This window comes from Homo sapiens, chromosome 2, assembly GCF_000001405.40.
Source record: "Homo sapiens chromosome 2, GRCh38.p14 Primary Assembly".
NCBI lineage: Eukaryota > Metazoa > Chordata > Mammalia > Primates > Hominidae > Homo > Homo sapiens.
In genome coordinates, this window is record NC_000002.12 from 131,394,905 (window position 1) to 131,412,053 (window position 17,149).

The 17,149-nt window shown below is 42.2% G+C and overlaps 1 long non-coding RNA gene and 1 pseudogene across 1 annotated transcript; one reads left to right on the forward strand and one right to left on the reverse strand.

Moving 5' to 3' along the window:
- Window positions 313-638, reverse strand: MED15P3 (mediator complex subunit 15 pseudogene 3; annotated as a pseudogene).
- LINC01120 (long intergenic non-protein coding RNA 1120) lies at window positions 7,997-13,324 on the forward strand. Its single transcript, NR_036499.1, has 3 exons — window positions 7,997-8,347; window positions 10,309-12,628; window positions 12,941-13,324. It is a non-coding gene; the product is annotated as a long intergenic non-protein coding RNA 1120 (long non-coding RNA).
- Window positions 13,325-17,149: the final 3,825 nt, after the last annotated feature.

The following is a 17,149-nucleotide window of genomic DNA, read 5'->3' on the forward strand; positions in this document are numbered from 1 at the left end:
AATCGTGTGTGTGAAGGGTTTCTTGTGTCCTCCGTGTTCCCCTGTGGAAGCGAGTGGAGGTGCCTCGAGCCTGCACACAAGATACTCTCAGGAGACCCTGAGCTCCCATTGCGCCTGTGAAAGGAAAATATTTTGGGCCCCCCAAAATCATTAAATTAAACTTAAGCTGGGAGCTGCTTAGGGCAACCCTGCCTCCCATTTTATTTAAAGTCTCTCCCCTGCTCACTGAGATAGATGCGTATTTGATTTGCCTCCTTTGGAAAGGTGTTTGTGCTGGGCAGCACCAAGGCGCGGTGCAGGGAATGGTTCAGGATTCCGAGCAGATGCGGGCCAGGCCGGCTTCCAGGAGCGGCCAGCGCAGGTGCTGCTGCGTGGTCAGCGGCGCCAGGGGCACTCGGGGCGTGGGCACCTCCAGGTCATGCTTGCGTTTCTCCAGGGCGATCTCAGGCTTCCACAGGGTCTCCAGGGGACACCGCTGAGAGCGGACTGTCAGAGCGTCCAGAAGGCTCGTCTTACCGCAGCCCTTTTGATGTCTTGGTTCCCGTGGATCCCGTTGCTCAGGCGGCGCAGGGGCTCCCTGTACTTGGGCAGCGGCTTTAGCTTGTCCAGGCACTGCTGCTGCTCGGCCTGGCTGGAGCCCGCTGGGCTCATGAGTGAGCCGCGTTTCATTGCATTGGTGGCTGCTGTATTGGCACTGGGCCTGCAAAGCCTGTTGCTGCTGCTCCTGTAGCTGCAGCTGTGCCCTGTGCTGCTGCGTCTGTTGCTGGTTTTGATGATTCAATATAACTGGAAATTTTATTGGTCTTTTGTATTTTTTTTAGTCTCCATTTCTGTTTTGATTTTGTTTTGTTTTGTTTTGAGACGGATTCTTGCTTTGTCACCCAGACTGGAGTGCAATGGCACGATCTCAGCCCACTGTAACCTCTGCCTCCCCCGGTTCAAGCGATTCTCCTGCCTCAGCCTCCCAAGTAGCTGGGATTACAGGCACCAGCCACCATGCCTGGCTAATTTTTGTATTTATAGTAGAGACTCGGTTTTGCCATGTTGGCTAGGCTGGTCTCAAACTCTTGACCTCCCAAAGTGCTGGGATTACAGGCGTGAGCCACCACCCTGGCTTCTGCTCTGATCTTTGTTATTTCTTTTCTTCTACTAATTTTGGGTTTGCTTTGCTCTTACTTTGCTATTTCTTTAAGATGCAACATTAGGTTGTTTATTGGAAGTTTTTCTACTTTTTATGTAGGTGTTTATTGCTATAAACTTCCCACTTAGTACTGCTTTTGTTGTATCCCATAGATTTGGTTACATTGTGTTTCCATTTTCATTTGTCTCAAGAAATTTTTTAAACATTTTCTTCTTAACTTCTTCATTGACTCAATGGTCATTCAGAAGCATGTAGTTTAATTTCCATGTGTTTGTATGGTTTTCAAAGTTTCTTTAGTTATTTATTTCTAGTTTTATTCCATATTATTAAATATGTGTTAATATTTAATAAAGCATTAAATAAAACATATTTAATATGTTTTATTAAATATTAAAATATATTTAATGTAATTTCATGTTTTCAAAAAATTTTTTTGAAACGTGTTTGGTGGTCTACCATATGGTCAATCTTTGGGTCTGTTTTATGTGCTGGGGAGAAGGATGTGTATTCTGAAGCTGATGGATGAAATATTCTGTAAATATGTATTAGGTCCATTGAGTCTACAGTACAGATTGTCTGATGATTCTTTGTTAACTTTCTGTTTAGATGATCTGTTCAGTGCTGAAAGTGGGGTGTTAAAGTCCCAGCTATTATTTTATTGGTGTTTGTCTCTCTAACTCTAATAATATTTGCTTTATATATCTGAGTGCTCCAATGCTGGGTACATATATATTTATAATAGTTATATTCTCTTGAAGAATTGATGATTATATAATAAACTTTATTGTCTCTTTTTACAGTTTTTGTCTTGAAATCTATTTTATCTCATATAAGTGTAGCTACTCCTGCTCTTTTTCGGTTTTCACTTCATGGAACGTCTTTTTCAACCCCTTCATTTTCAATCTATATGTGTCTTTATAGGTGAAGTGGATTTCTTGTAGGAAGCCGATAGTTGGCTCTTGTCTTTTAATTGATTGAGCTACTCTGTGTTTTTTGATTGGAGCATTTAGTCCATTTACCTTCAGTGTTATTATTGATAGGTAAGGGCATAGTATTGCAATTTTGCTACTTGTTTTCTAGTTGATTGTTTGGTCCTCTCTTCCTTTCTTTCGTGCTTCCTGTGTTCCTTTGTATAAAAAGTGAGTTGCTCTGGTAGTATGTTTTAACTGCTTGCTTTCTATTTTGTGCATACCTATCATAGGATTTTGGTTTTTGGTTACCATGAAGCTTGTAAAGAACATCTTATAACCAGTTATTTTAATCTAATGACAACTTCTTTTTACTTTCTTCTTCTGCAGAGCTTGAAGGTCAGAGGTGAGAGCTTAGGGTCTTCCTGGGTCATTCCTGATCACGTGCCTGGCCCCGAGCATCCACATTGCCTTCTAGATTCCCAAAACTATTGTCACAGCCCTAAATTCCAAAGGGTGTCCTTTCCAAGTCTTCCTTCCTAGGGTTTTTCAGCAAGACTATTTTTGCCCCAACTGATATCCTTTTCTCAGATGAGTGGGGTCAGCCATTTCCGTTTAAATGTTTTTAACAGGCATTTAATTATTGATTTGAGATTTTTCTGCTTTTTCATTGATGGAATTCTGCTATAAGCTTCCTTCAGAGCATGGTTTTCAATTAATCCTGTAAGTTTTTTTAGGTTTTGTCTACTTTTTCATTTATCTTAAAATACTGTCTTATACTACTTGTGGTTTCTTTTTTGGCCTTTTATTATTTTGGAAAATTTTTGCTAATGTTCACATTTTTAGGAGTTTCCCAGATTTCTTCTTTTCATTGATCCCTAATTTGCTTTTATTATGATGAGAAAATATTCTTTGTATTATTTTAATCCTTCAATTTAATTGATGTTTGTTTTATGGCTTTGCATAGTGTCTTAGAAAATGTTCTGTGTGCATTTGGGAAGAATACAGATTCTGCTGTTGAATGGCGTGTTCCATATGTATCTGTTAGGTGTATTTGGTTTCTAATGTTGTTCATATTTTCTATTTCCTTGTTATCTTGTGTCTAGTTGTTATACCCATTAGTGTAAGTGGGGTATTAAAGTCTCCAACTATCATTGCTGAATTATTTCATTTCTGTCAAGTTTTGCTTCTTGTGTTTCTGTACTCTTTCCCTGAGTGCATACATGTCAATAAGTTTTACATTTTCCCGATTAATTTACCCTTTGTCGTTATAAAATATCCTTATTTCTGTTAATATTTTTGTTGTTGTTTTAAAGTAAGTTTGTCTAATGTTAGACAGTTCCTTTTGTCCCTCTAAGAAACAGTCTATTCAGAAGGTGCCGTGATTGTCCCTGGCAGGGAGGGTTGGTGCCCTGGACTTGGTGGAGAGAGCAGCAATGCTGTGTCCACAGGGCTGAGTGCAGCTGCCTAACAGCAGGGACTCACAGTAACAGTGGCCAGGACACCTTGGGCACATTGGCCACAATGATGCCAGTGAGGAATATAACAGAGTCCAGGATGTGATACTGCAGGGACACTGCCATGATGAAGAAAAAGGTGCTGGTGGAGATGGCCATTCCCGCCACAAACCAACACAGTGCCCCCTCTCAGCGGCAATGGCATCTTCTCATTTCCAACTCCTGAGATCAAGGAGGCAATATGACCAGTGGTGTGCGGTCACCGTGCCAATCACTATGCCGTGGCGATGCCTACCAGGGAAGTAGACATTTTATTCCAGGGATGTTAGCTATGAGGGGCACACAGCCAGCTTGTAGCCTTCCCTCAGCGCTTGCATGATCCATGAGCGTGTAATGTTACGAAGACCAAACATGTGTCATCTAGGCCCTTCAGTTTCATGCTTCCTCTAGGACAAGCTTTGTAACAAGGTGTCACAAAGAACAGACATGAGGCCCCAGAAGGGAGAAGGGGTGTGCGTGGGCATGCAGCCCGAGAGCTAGCAGCCTCACCTCCCAGACAGGTTGGAGAAGAGAAACAGATGTTCTTGTTCCCAAGAGGGTCTCGTGTGCAACTCAGAGGAGCGGGCCTAGGGCTCAGACTCCCCCATGACGGGCGAGTTACCCACCTAGAAGAAATGTGGAAAACAGATCAAAATTAGGCACCTTGTTCCTTGCCTCTTACACTGAGGTAGGGAAAGGTGGAACACCAGCTGCTCTAAGCACAGTCCCCAGGGCTGGTGCCCCTGCCACTTGCCCGACACCCCGTAGAAGGCAGCACCTTGATATCTGCAGAGATCTGGTCTCCTCTTTAGCCTCCACAATGTCCACACCCCAGCTGCTCTGCAGCGATGATCTCCTCAGAATCTGAGATGACAAGAGCTTGCTGCAGAAGAAAGCTGTGACAGGTGCCTCATATCCTAGAAGGACCCCAGCCCTCCTCTCCAATCTGTGCTGCAGCAAACCCCAGCATGGAGGCCTTGGAACCTGAAGCTGTCACATTGGCAAGAATACAACTGAAGATAGTTTGACCTAGGAGCTGAAGACTCTAAGAACTATTCTTTCTTAAGCTCAAAGAGATGTTCTTGGAACCAGAAAAGGCTGCTGTCAGGCAGATCTAACAAAGCAAGAGCCCTGGGCTCATAGAAAGGGAAACAAGGGTGAGCTATACTGGCTGGGCATCTGGGAAGAACACTGAAGGTGTTAATAATCTCGTGAGGGTCAGGGAAATTCTAACAAGGTGATCTCCTGCTTTGAGCTCGGCAGGAGGCATCCTTTGCACCTAGAACCTTCACTCCAGCCAGCAGTTCCCTGAGCCAGGGCCAGCATGGCTTTCCTGCTTCGGACACCTGTCAGGGTTCCTGGGGAGAGGGGAGTGCTAGTTCCCCTGGCTGAGTGCATTTTGGGACTCAGACTGTCTCAGAACAGTCACAGATCAACAATCCCAGGTGGGTCTCCTCTGCTGTTGGTTAAGAAACTCCCTGACCTTCTATAGGCTCTTCCCAGAAACCCCCAGATAACTGTCCACAAATGCTGAGAGCAGGCATAGATGTTGGACAGTGATTCACATTTTCCTGGATGGGAACATGCTTGATCATCAAAATCCTGTGAGGAACAGGGTTCAGAGAGATGTAACTTGCCCAAGCTTTCTCAGACAGGGAAGGGCAGGCTGGAGCTTGAGCAGGGACTCTCGGCTCCTGGGGCCCCAAGCTCCTACTCTCCTGAGGCTTCCTCACCTGGGAGTCACCAGAGACCAGAGGAGCGGTGGCTGGCACCCACCTGAGGATCATCTTGAAAAGATGGACACGATGTCAGTGCTTTTTATCTCTTGCTAACAGGTAAAGATCCCTATCAAAATGACAACTAGGACAAGTACAGAGCCAAGTATACCTGGGTGAGGAGCAGGGGCATCAGCCAGAGAAACAGGCAGCAGCAAGGACCCAAGGCTGGAGGCTGGAGCTCTCTATAGGAGGATGTGATGCTGGCAGCTGTGTCCTGGTGTGATTTACAGGCCACAGCATTCACCTATGTTAAGTGCACCATTTGTTGACTTTTTTGTAAGTTTGCAGAGTTGTCACCATCCTGCACTCCAGCCTCAGCATCTCCATGCTGCCAGCAGATGCCCCCTGCCCTTCTGCAGTACCCTCTGCTCCATCCCCAGCCCCGGCACCACTGATCTGCTTCCTGCCCTGTGGATGTGCCTGTTCTGCACATTTCACATCAATTTAACCCTGCGACACCTTGCTGCCTCTGGTTTCTGTCTGTCAGCGTCATGTGGCGGACTCAATTTTGTGATTTGATTTCCCAGGTCTCATCAGGCACACATGCTCTCCATGTTAAAGGGAAAGGCTAGCTTGGAGGAAACAGAGCCCAAAGATACTACACATGGATGCAGATTTTCTTCCTCTTAAAAATGCAAGGTGCTTCATGTCTGTCTCTCTCTTTTGTAAAATTCATGCACAGACTGCCTGTGAGACATTGGAAACGCAGGTACCATTTCTGTTTTACAGCGGAGGAAATGACTGTTTTTCCCACACCCATGCAGTGACAGCCTCTGTTCTCCCTGTTACTGCCTGAGCAAAACCAGGAGGGGACACTCAGGAGCCTTATATTGTCCAGGGACTGTTGGGAGTGCTGATTCCCACATGCGATCCAGCACAGGAAGGCACCTGTCCATAGGAGGAGGGAGAACCTTCCACCATCTGCTTGAGGAACCTGACAATCTCTGGTGTCTGCTTGGGAGGCATGAGGACATTGGGCTCGTGGTGGGCCAGCAGCTTGGCTGCTCTGGTGCTGGAGAGGCCCTGAGAAGGCCAAGCAAAACACACGCACAAAGAGAAATAGGAAGCAGACATTTCTTCTCCTTCGGGGGTTGGGCTGCATATTTTTGCAGCTTAGGGTTAGGCATCCATGTGCCCAAAGAAGGTCCTGGGAAAAGGGGGCCATGCCTCATCCCTCCAGCTGCCCACCCTTTTTGAAAGAATATGTAATGCTTAATACCAGTCAGGCAATATGCTGTGTATACTTCCTTACTTATTCTTCAAAATAACCCTCCAAGGAAGGGACCATTTGAGGTTATCAGAACTCTCCATTTAGAAAATCATTCTTTACATCCTCTCCAGCACCTATTGTTTCCTGACTTTTTAATGATCGCCATTCTAACTGCTGTGTGATGGTATCTCATTGTGGTTTTGATTTGCATTTCTCTGATGACCAGTGATGATGAGCATTTTTTCATGTGTCTTTTGGCTGCATAAATGTCTTCTTTTGAGAAGTGTCTGTTCATATCCTTTGCCCACTTTTTGATGGGGTTGTTTGTTTTTTTCTTGTAAATTTGTTTGAGTTCATTGTAGATTCTGGATATTAGCCCTTTGTCAGATGAGTAGATTGCAAAAATGTTCTCCCATTCTGTAGGCTGCCTGTTCACTCTTATGGTAGTTTCTTTTGCTGTGCAGAAGCTCTTTAGTTTAATTAGATCCCATTTGTCAATTTTGGCTTTTGTTGCCAAGGGAATTGAACAATGAGAACACTTGGACACAGGAAGGGGAACATCACACACCGGGGCCTGTTGTGGGATGGGGGGAGTTGGGAGGGATAGCATTAGGAGATATACCTAATGTTAAATGACGAGTTAATGGGTGCAGCACACCCACATGGCACATGTATACATAGGTAACAAATCTGCACGTTGTGTACATGTATCTAAAACTTCTACCCTAAAACTTAAAGTATAATAAAAAAAAGAAAATCACTCTTTATATATTTTCAAACAACACATTGGTAAACATGTAATGCTGCTTTTTTCAGCATCTCCGAGTGAATAGCCAGTCTTTCATATACACATTGACAGAGAAATCTCTCAATGAACTCAGAAATTCAGAAATTAGTAAGTATGAAAACTTAGTTGCATAGAGAAAAACAGTAGATAACATAGATAGCTGATAAGAGAAGATTTCATACAGTTACTGTGAGATATTCTTAGAGATTGACTTTTAAAATTTGAATTTATGGTAAGGCATTTTAAACTTTAATCTGGAACAAATTTAAAATTTCTGAATAGAGAAATTTCTGATGACTCAGGAATAGTAAAAATGGGTGGGGATAATGTTTCAAATCAAGGAAGGAACCTCATTTTATTCTGAACATACTAGTTTTGACTGTTTTCACCCTGAAATTTTCACTACTAAATATATTTGAAAGCAAGTCTTTTTTCCTTAACATTTGTTTCATACACAGAGAATAACACTGTGGGTCTGGGATTCAGATTTTGAAATGAAGCGTGGACTCTGAGTGGCCCCTTGTCCTTGTGAAAGTGCACTGGTCTAGAGAGCGGCAGTTGGACCCCAGAGTGTGGCACGTGTTCCTGTGTTCATTTGAATATTCTGTGATGACCTGTCACGGAGGTCATGTGATGATGTATATCCTGCCCTCCATCCCAACTGCCACTGGGTTTCAACTGCCACCTGGGAGACTGCTGGTAAAGATGGGAGGTGGCCTTTGCCGCTTTCCATCTTCTCACTGCAGTTTCTTCACGTGGGCCACTTGTACTTAAAATGTCTTCTTAATTTATTCTTTTTACTTCCCCAGCTCCAATTTGTCTACAGATTTACAAATTTGTTTTATAGTTTTATGACTCAATTTGTATTTTCGGTCCTATGAAGCTTTTTGCCTTAAATATTTTTCTCTGTTTATAAGAATGTGCTGTTTCCTAGGCCAGTTTTGTACACACTCTTCCATAGAATAGATCCAGAAGAAACACAACAATACTGCCTTCATCATATCAGGAGATCTTGATACCAAATACGGTAAGAGACATTCCATGAAAGGGGGATTACAGGCCAAAGTCTTCTGAATAGAGATGTGAAAATCTTAAATCAGATATCGGAACATCTTAAATCCAGAGTTTTTTAAGAAAATAAACAGATTTTCTGATGGGAAACATAATAGCCTAGTTAAGAGGTTTCGAGGGATTGTTTTAAATTAAAGACATTTTTAAAAGATAAATACAATCAGGTGGATATAAAAAGTTACAAAATAGAAAAAATCATTAGAGGTTATAAAAGGTTTATGAAAATCTTACTTTGTAGTCAAAATTGACTAGGGTAAGTGATTTATTTACAAGGTCTTATTAAAATTAGCTACAATATTAAAAATACACTAATACCAAACTAAAATTTTGATTTAAAAAATAAGCTTTTCTTAAGATATTAATTTGTTCTCAATGAAATTACAAGAGGTAATAATTTTTCATTCTGAAATCTATTATTTTTTAAACTTCTCAGATTTATACCTCAGAAGTTCGACTTTTACTGTGTCTCTTTACACGTAATTTACAGGTCCCATATTATTGCCTTTTGTTTCTTTTCTCCTGGAAAAGGTGCATCTTTTCCAGGCTGGGATGATAACTCTCTCCTTCAAATTTTCATCAGCCCCTTTAACTCCACCCCGCCGCCTCCCCCACCGCAGGTTCTAATTCTGCTGCTGTAATACTAAAATGCTTATTTTTAAAGGTCTAAAATACTAATGTTTGTCTCAGAGGCAGCACGATTTTGTGCTCTTGGCTTTTTGATGTCTTAATTGTTTCAGGTGACCAGGAAACCTCCCATGTTGTTCGTTAGAGCCAGGTACCCCCCTGCTCAAGTTACTAGCTCTTCTGCTTACATTTCTTCTATAGTAGAATATTCACTCATGACTGAACACACGCCGTGTCTTGTTAAATTCGAGTGCCCTTCTGATCAGGTGTGACTTTGAAGTTATTCAATAAACTTCATTTAGACACTGCCCACTCTCAGGCAGGCCTTAGTTCAGCCTGCTCAGATCAGTAGTCAGAAGACAGTGGGGGTCACAGATTTAATTCCCTAAATCACTTAAGCACCAGCCTTGATGGCCACATTTCAGTTAACTTCCACACTCGGAAGAGAGAACTGAGGCACAGAAGGGTCTATAGAACTTCTCAGGTTCATGTAGCTTCCCAATAAGGACTTGAGCCAGACCTTTGTGCACCAGGCCGCGTGCTCTTGGTCACTCCCATCTGCCACCTTTCTACCTCGTCTCATCTCAGTACAGGGATTTGCCTACACAGTCGGTCTGCACGGTTTTAAGTGCAACCTACAGTGCAAGTTCTTCCTAACGCCCAACTCAGATTCAGGAGGCTTATTTCTGCAGATGGTGAACAGGGGACAATGGTTCAAACACTGAACTTAGTGGTCCCCAGCCTTTTTGACACTAGGGACTGTTTTCATGGAAGATAATTTTTCAGTGGACCGGGATGGGGTGGAAGGATGCTTTCAGGATGAACCTAGCACATTTATTGTGCACTTTATTTCTATTATTATTACATTGTAATATATGATGAAATAATTATACAACTCTCCTAGGAGGGCAAACCCTACTGCGAGCTGCACAGGCCAGGGATCCAGGCCACGTGCACTTTATGCGAATCTAATGCCATGGCTAATCTGACAGGAGGTGGAGCTCAGACGGTGATGCGAGTGATGAGAGCGGCTGTGAATACAGATGAAGCTTTGCTCCCAGCCGCTGCTCAAGCCTGGTTCCTAACAGGCCACACACCATCGGTGGCCCAGGGTTTGGGAACCCCTGACTTAACCCGTTTCCCATTTAGAAAGTAAAAGTGCAGCTCGCTGGGAGCACAGTGTTCTCGGGGAACACAGGAAATGGGTTAAACTGTGAATAAACGGTGCCTCCTTTCTCTGTGGTCTTCTGCAGCAAGATATCAACAGTTGTCTTTATTTAATCCATTTCCCAGAGTGTTGCCTCCAAGATGCAAGATCCTGAGGGCTCCAAAGAATCCACTGTCCGTCACAAATCGACGGTCCGCCAGCTCAGTTTCAGAGACGTGGTGCTCCGCTGCAGGCCTCATCCTCAGGTGCACCCTGGCAGTCAGCCATCTGAAGGTACTATGGAAATTCAGTTACTCACTCTTGGGAGCAGAAGGATTCCAGACCATTCCTGTGTGCACCCTGGCAGGGAGCCATCTGAAGGTACTGTAGAAATTCAGTTACTCACCCTTGCAAGCATAAGGATTCCAGATTCTTCAGGGTCCCAAACTTCAGATAACTCTAAAATTGCTACACTATATTCTTCTTTATTTCATGTGTGCCAATTTAAATGTACAAGTCAATCACTAGTGCTACAAATGCAGAAGTAAAGATGTATTTCCACTTCAAGTTTGGTTCACTTTTAAGAGTAAAGAACACGTCAATGCAAGGTTTAGATATTAATGCAAGGTTTAGATATAATGTCTAGCTGATTGTTAGACATTAGCTAAAATGGAACTCTTCCTGAGATAGCGTTGCCACATTTTCAAACAAATGGACATCATGTGAAACTTGTAAATTAACTTAAAAATTGCAGTAGTACAGAAAGTTCCCATATACCCTCCCCCCTCAGTATCTTTTTTGTGACCACATCTTACATGAATGTGGTGCATTTGTTATAGTGGTTGAAGCAATAGCGATATCTTCTTCTTAATGAAAGTCTAGAGTTTGCACTAAGGCTCACCCTGTGTTGTTCAGCCTATGGATTTTGACAAACTCGTAATGTCATCCATCACCCAGACAGAAGAGTTTCACACCCAAAACATGACCAATGCTGAACCTATTAATCCCTTTCTTCTTTTCCTAGGACCCCTGACTACTATAGATCATTTATTTTATTGCCTCTATGGATTTTCTTTCCCAAAATTCTATAGAATTGGAATCATAAAGTATGCAGCCACTTAGGACTAACTGATTTCGCTTAGCAACATACATGCAAGATTTCATATCTTTTTGTAGCTTAATGGCTTACAAATTTTTATCAGTGAATCGTATTCCATTGGGTCCATGTAATGGTGTGGGTTGGTGCACTCACCGCCTGAAGAGCATCTCAGCTGCTTCCAGTTCAGGCAATTACGAATACAGCTGCCCTCATTCTTGTGCAGATTTTGCAATGGGTGTAATTTTAAAATTTAACTGGGTAAATGTTTAGAATTTTAATCAGTTTTTTGTATAATAACACTATGTTTTCCTTTGTAAGAATTAGGTAGAATTCAGTAAAATCTACTGGGCATTTTTTAAAAAGTTATTGTTGATTTAATTTCTATAATACATACAAGCCTACTCAGATTATCTGAGTCTCCTTTGGGTAGTTATGGTTTCTGCCTTTGAAGGAATTTTGCTGTCAGATTTGTGAGCATAGATTTATTCTAAGTATTCCTTTATTATCTTCTTCATATTCATGGGATCAGCAGGAATGATTCCTCTTTTTATTTACATTATTTATAAATTGTGTCTTCTATCTTTTCTCTGTGGTTAGCCTGGCTGGAGGTTTATCAATTCTGTTTATCTTTTCTAAGAAGCAGCTTTTGGTTTTGTTTTGTTCTCTGTTTATTTTATTATTTCTATTATAATGAATATATTTTTTTTCTATGTTAATGTTGGGTTTACATTACACAATACTTTTTTCTCTAGTTTCCCAAGGTGGAAGGTAAGAAAACTGAATTAAGATTGTTTTTAGTTTTCTAGATAGCATTGTGAATGGAACTGATGTCACAGAAGTGTGCATTTAATAATCAAAATAATACATATTGTGTATTTTTCACCAAAATAATGATTTAAAATCCAGTAATATAGATGGTAAGTGCAGAAGGAGCATATGTAGATTCAGGAACGTTAAACATTGTAACTTTTTTTAAAAAGAGGATATTTACCAGGCCTCTTTCTGTGAGGAGACCCTGTCCTGGAGTGATGCCGTGCATTTGTGTGCTGCCTGGGTGAACACTGCCTACTTCACAGTGATGAGGGTGGCTTAGACAGAGACCCGAGGCTCTGTCCTCCAGGGCTCTCCTGATGGTCTCCTTTACCTTCCTTCACCACCAAGGAGGGTGGCCCAGCAGCAGCTCAGCCTGTGCTCTCACCCACCTCCTCTGCACACACCAGTCCTCGTCCTCAGCACCCAAGGCTGCCAGAGGTCCTTCAGCAGCTCCCGTGGCTGACAGTGACTCTACGTTTCCTAGATTTCAGGGACCACCTGGAGGGGAGCGGACCAGAGAGACTTCCTCGGAATAGGCTGTGGCTCTTCACAAGGTAAAGTCTTCTTTCTTTGTCTGAGATGGCAATTTTATTTCTTTAGGTTTCTATTTCATTTGAACTAAGATATGCAAATCTTACCATGGACATTGTAGATGAGTTACAGAATTTCTTGGTGGGCAAATGTATGTGAGAGCCCATTACCAAACTGGAACTTGGTCCAGATGGCACTCATAGATGACAGCTTCAGTGACAAACTGCATGGCAGAGAGCATTTTCCTCAGGAGAAATGTGTTCTTGAAAATAGTGTTGACTGTGCAACCAAAATCATTTTGAAAATCTTACACAAACTCTTGGGCCTTTCCACAGGTGTCTTCTATGCTTTATTTGGGAGCCATTGCCTTGAGCGTTATTTCCCAGATGGTTTTCTAATGTCACCAACTGAAGAAAAGACCCATGCACACAGGACACAGCATGATCTGATGCTCACAGCGTTTTCCTTCCTCTCTGAAAACGGACTCAGCGATTCTGGCAAGCGGTACTTACTCTGAGATCACCCGTTTGCTAAGGAAAAATCTTAGTACTGAGAAAGGTGACACTTTCCTCCCTGCTTTTGCTGGAGAGACACTTTGGTTATGAGTTATTTCTAGCATAACACAGTTTATTTCAGAAGTCCAGCTCAATAGCAGACCAAGGCATGAACAACACATGAAAATTTATGTTGGGAAAATATATATTGTATGTCTGCTTGAACTGTGGGTTCTTGATTAATACAAAACTGGTTGATGAAGGTTGTTACCTTCAGGAAAATGCAAATCTAGTGGAGGGACAAAACTCACAGTAACAGTATTTCATCATAGCCACCATGAGGCAGTACATTATGAAGCATGTCAGTGATGAATTACTGGCAGGCTGGTCTGTCATTGAAGCTACACTCTGTTTCTAGCTTCTGTTGCTTCTGCTGTCTCTCTCCTAACATCTGCATATTCCTCCACTTTGTGGTGGAGGAAGCATTAGGGCTGATATAGGGGATTTCCAGTGAGTGTATAATTCAGTGCAGAATTGGCAGGAATATATTCCATGGTTAGGAGCTGGAGAAAGTAAGAAATAAAAATAGACCTTGAAGAATGGGTAGGATTTTCAAAATCAGAGATAAAGACGCAAGAAAGAGAATTCAGTTTTTCAAGTTTCTAAGCAATCATATTTACATGCATAGACATTTTGCTGGTTTCTGTCTTACTAATGTATACTACACTGTGTCTAATCACTCTGAGGGCTGGTATTTCGGGTCTGTTCCAGACACTCAGGAATCATTTGTTCAGCTTGTTCTATATGCTGGAAACTGTTGCAGGGATGGATATATGCAGTCCTTGTCCCAAAGCAGCTTATGACTCCAAGAGCAAGGGATAGAATATGAACATGTGTCTTTGGGTTACTTCTAGGGGTAAGAATGAGTTCTGTGGGCAGATGCATACAGGAAGTGGGGAGAGGGAGAATGAGATACAAACTATCCAGGCAGGAGGCATTGCAGTAATCAAAGTGAACTATGAGAGAAGCCTGGGGTGTTGTAAAAAGAAAGAAACTTTGTCATAAGTGGAATGATCAGACAAGTCTTAGAAGGCTGTATTGCAGCCACAGTTCTGACTGGCTACCAATCAGAAGAAGAGGGAAATGAGAACTCTTCTTGGCTTGAGTACCTGAGTAAAGGATCTAACCATTCCCAGACAGGCGGCCCACAAGAGAGAAGCAGGTTAGAAGGAAATACCACGAGTTGTGTTTTGGTCATGTTAGGTAGAGGACATTTGAATGCAGAGTAAGTCAAACTCTTAGGGCAGGGGAGTCAAGAATGCTCCATTGCAGTGGTGTCAGCAAAATGGCAGGGAAGGCAGCTCTAAGCTCCCATCCTTCCATAGGAATGTTGAATAAACAACCAGACACTGTCAGAACCAACTTTGTGAGAACCGGGAAAATAATCAAAGGTGTACGGCAACTAAAAGAATGCTGGATCAACACAAAGGAAACTTAAAAATGATATGAAAGCTGTGTGGCATTTTTGCTTGTCCCACAAGTCCAGCTTGGTGATAGTCTTGAAGACGGCAGGCTGGATTCCCCAGGCTGGGACCCTTATCCCTGGTTCCAGAGAGGAGAGCAGATCTGATTCACAAATGATTATGCTTGTCTGTTTTAATCTTTCCAGAGGCTGTCTGAAGAAGGTATTCATCATCTCTGTTTTACCTGACCCAGAAACCATTCTGCTAGGAAAAACAGTGGGCATTGCTTGAAAACAGTGTTCTGTGGTTGAAAAACCCACAGTCACCTTGGGCTGGTGGGAATGTAAAATGGCGCCTCTTCTGGATCATCGTTTGGCAGTTTCTCAAAAGGTCAAACGTAGAATCACTATTTGATCCAACAATTCTACTCCTAGGTATATCCCCAAAAGAATTGAAAACAAGGATGCAAACATATGCGTGTACACTAATGTTTATAGAAAAAATATTCACAATAATCAAAAGGCAGAAACAACCCAAGTGTCCAATAACAGAAGAATGAATAAACAGTGTGATATAAACATAAATGGAATATCTAGCCATGAAAAGGAATTAAGTATTGATACATACTGCAACATGGATGAGTCTTGAAAACATTTTGCTAAATGAAACGTCAGACACAGAACACATATTGATGCTTTCACTTATATTAGGTACATAGAACAGGCAATTATAGAGATAAAAAGTAAATAAACAGCTTGGGGCTGAAGGAAGGGTGAAATTATAAGTTATTGCTTAATGAGTATAGAGTTTTAAGTTGATGAAATATTTTGGAGATAGTTTGTGGTGATGGTTGCAAACCACGTAAATGTCATTAATACCATTGATTTGTACACTTAAATTGCTGAAATTGCAAATTTTATACACACAACCCTGACATATTGCCAGGATTAAAAAAATAGTAACAAAAATAGTGAAATAAGGAAGAATGATTTCCTAGACAAGCACGAAAATCCCTTGTAAGCTAAGTCTACAAAGCCCTCTCCAAAATGATGCAAAATTAAGCTACTTTTACATTTTTAAAAGAAAATGCATGTAATCTTAACATCAAAACCCTTAACTAAAGTAAGCATTTCTGATCGGAGTGTAAATTAGTTCAACCATTGTGGAAGACAGTGTGGCAATTCCTCAGAGACCTAGAACCAGAAATATCATTTGACCCAGCAATCCCATTACTGGGTAGATACCCAAAGGAATATAAATCCTTCTATTATAAAGATACATGCAGGTGTATGTTCATGGCAGAACTATTCACAATAGCAAGACGTGGAATCAACCCAAATGCCCATCAGTGACAGATGAGATAAAGAAAATGTGGTACCTATACACCATGGACTACTATGCAGCCATTTGCAGGGACATGGATGGCATTGGAAGCCGTTACCCTTAGCAACTAATGCAGTAACAGAAAACCAAACACCGCATGTTCTCACTTATAAGTGGGAACTGAACGATGAGAACACATGGACATATGCGAGGGGAACAACACACACTGGGGCCTGTCAGGAGATTGGGCAAAGGAGAGCATCAGGAAGAATAGCTAATGGATGCTGGGCTCAATACCTAGGTGATGGGATGATCTGTGCAGCAAACCAACCCGACACACATTGACCTGTGTACCCTGCACATCCTGCACATTTGTACCCCTAAACTTAAAAGTTGAAGAAAACAGGCCGGGCGCGGTGGCTCACGCCTGTAATCCCAGCACTTTGGGAGCCCGAAGCAGGTGGATCACGAGGTCCAGAGATCGAGACCATCCTGGCTAACACGGTGAAACCCCGTCTCTACTAAAAAGAAAAATACAAAAAATTAGCCAGGCGTGGTGGTGTCGGGTGCCTGTAGTTCCAGCTACTCAGGAGGCTGAGGCAGGAGAATGGTGTGAACCCGGGAGGCGGAGCTTGCAGTGAGCCGAGATGGCACCACTACACTCCAGCCTGGGCGACAGAGCGAGACTCCGTCTGAAAAAAAAATTTTTTTTGAAGAAAAAAGTAAGCCTCTAATAAAGCTCTTAAAGAGATATTTTAAAATAAAGGAATTTTTTTAAACAAAATATAACAATAACAGCAAGCTCCCTAATCTCTTTCCTGGGCATCTCTGACCTGAGAGTCCTGCTGAACCCCCAGCTGCTCCCCCAGGCCACCCCACAGCCCCCTTAACACTCCAGCCTGTCCGTCATGTTCAGAAGGAGCTGCTCAATCAGTCCTGGTGTCTTTCTCAGCCCCTTCCAATTCTCTTTCTCACCTTTGGCCTAACCAGCAGTTCTGAATCCTGGAATGAGTTGGGTAGAAAGCTGTGCTTGCTCACAAGTTACTGTTTTTGACCCTGTCACAAATGTTTGTTCATTATGTAAATGTTCTGTGACTGCTTACTTGCTCAATCAGGCTGTCTATAGATAAAGAAAAAGGCCCATCTCCCTGTTCTGATTTGTGTGCAAAACTCCCAATATGGAAACTGGTAACTGCTTACTTAGAGATTAATATACAGCACTGTCATTTATTTTATTATGCAATCTTTATTTTTCTAGAACTTT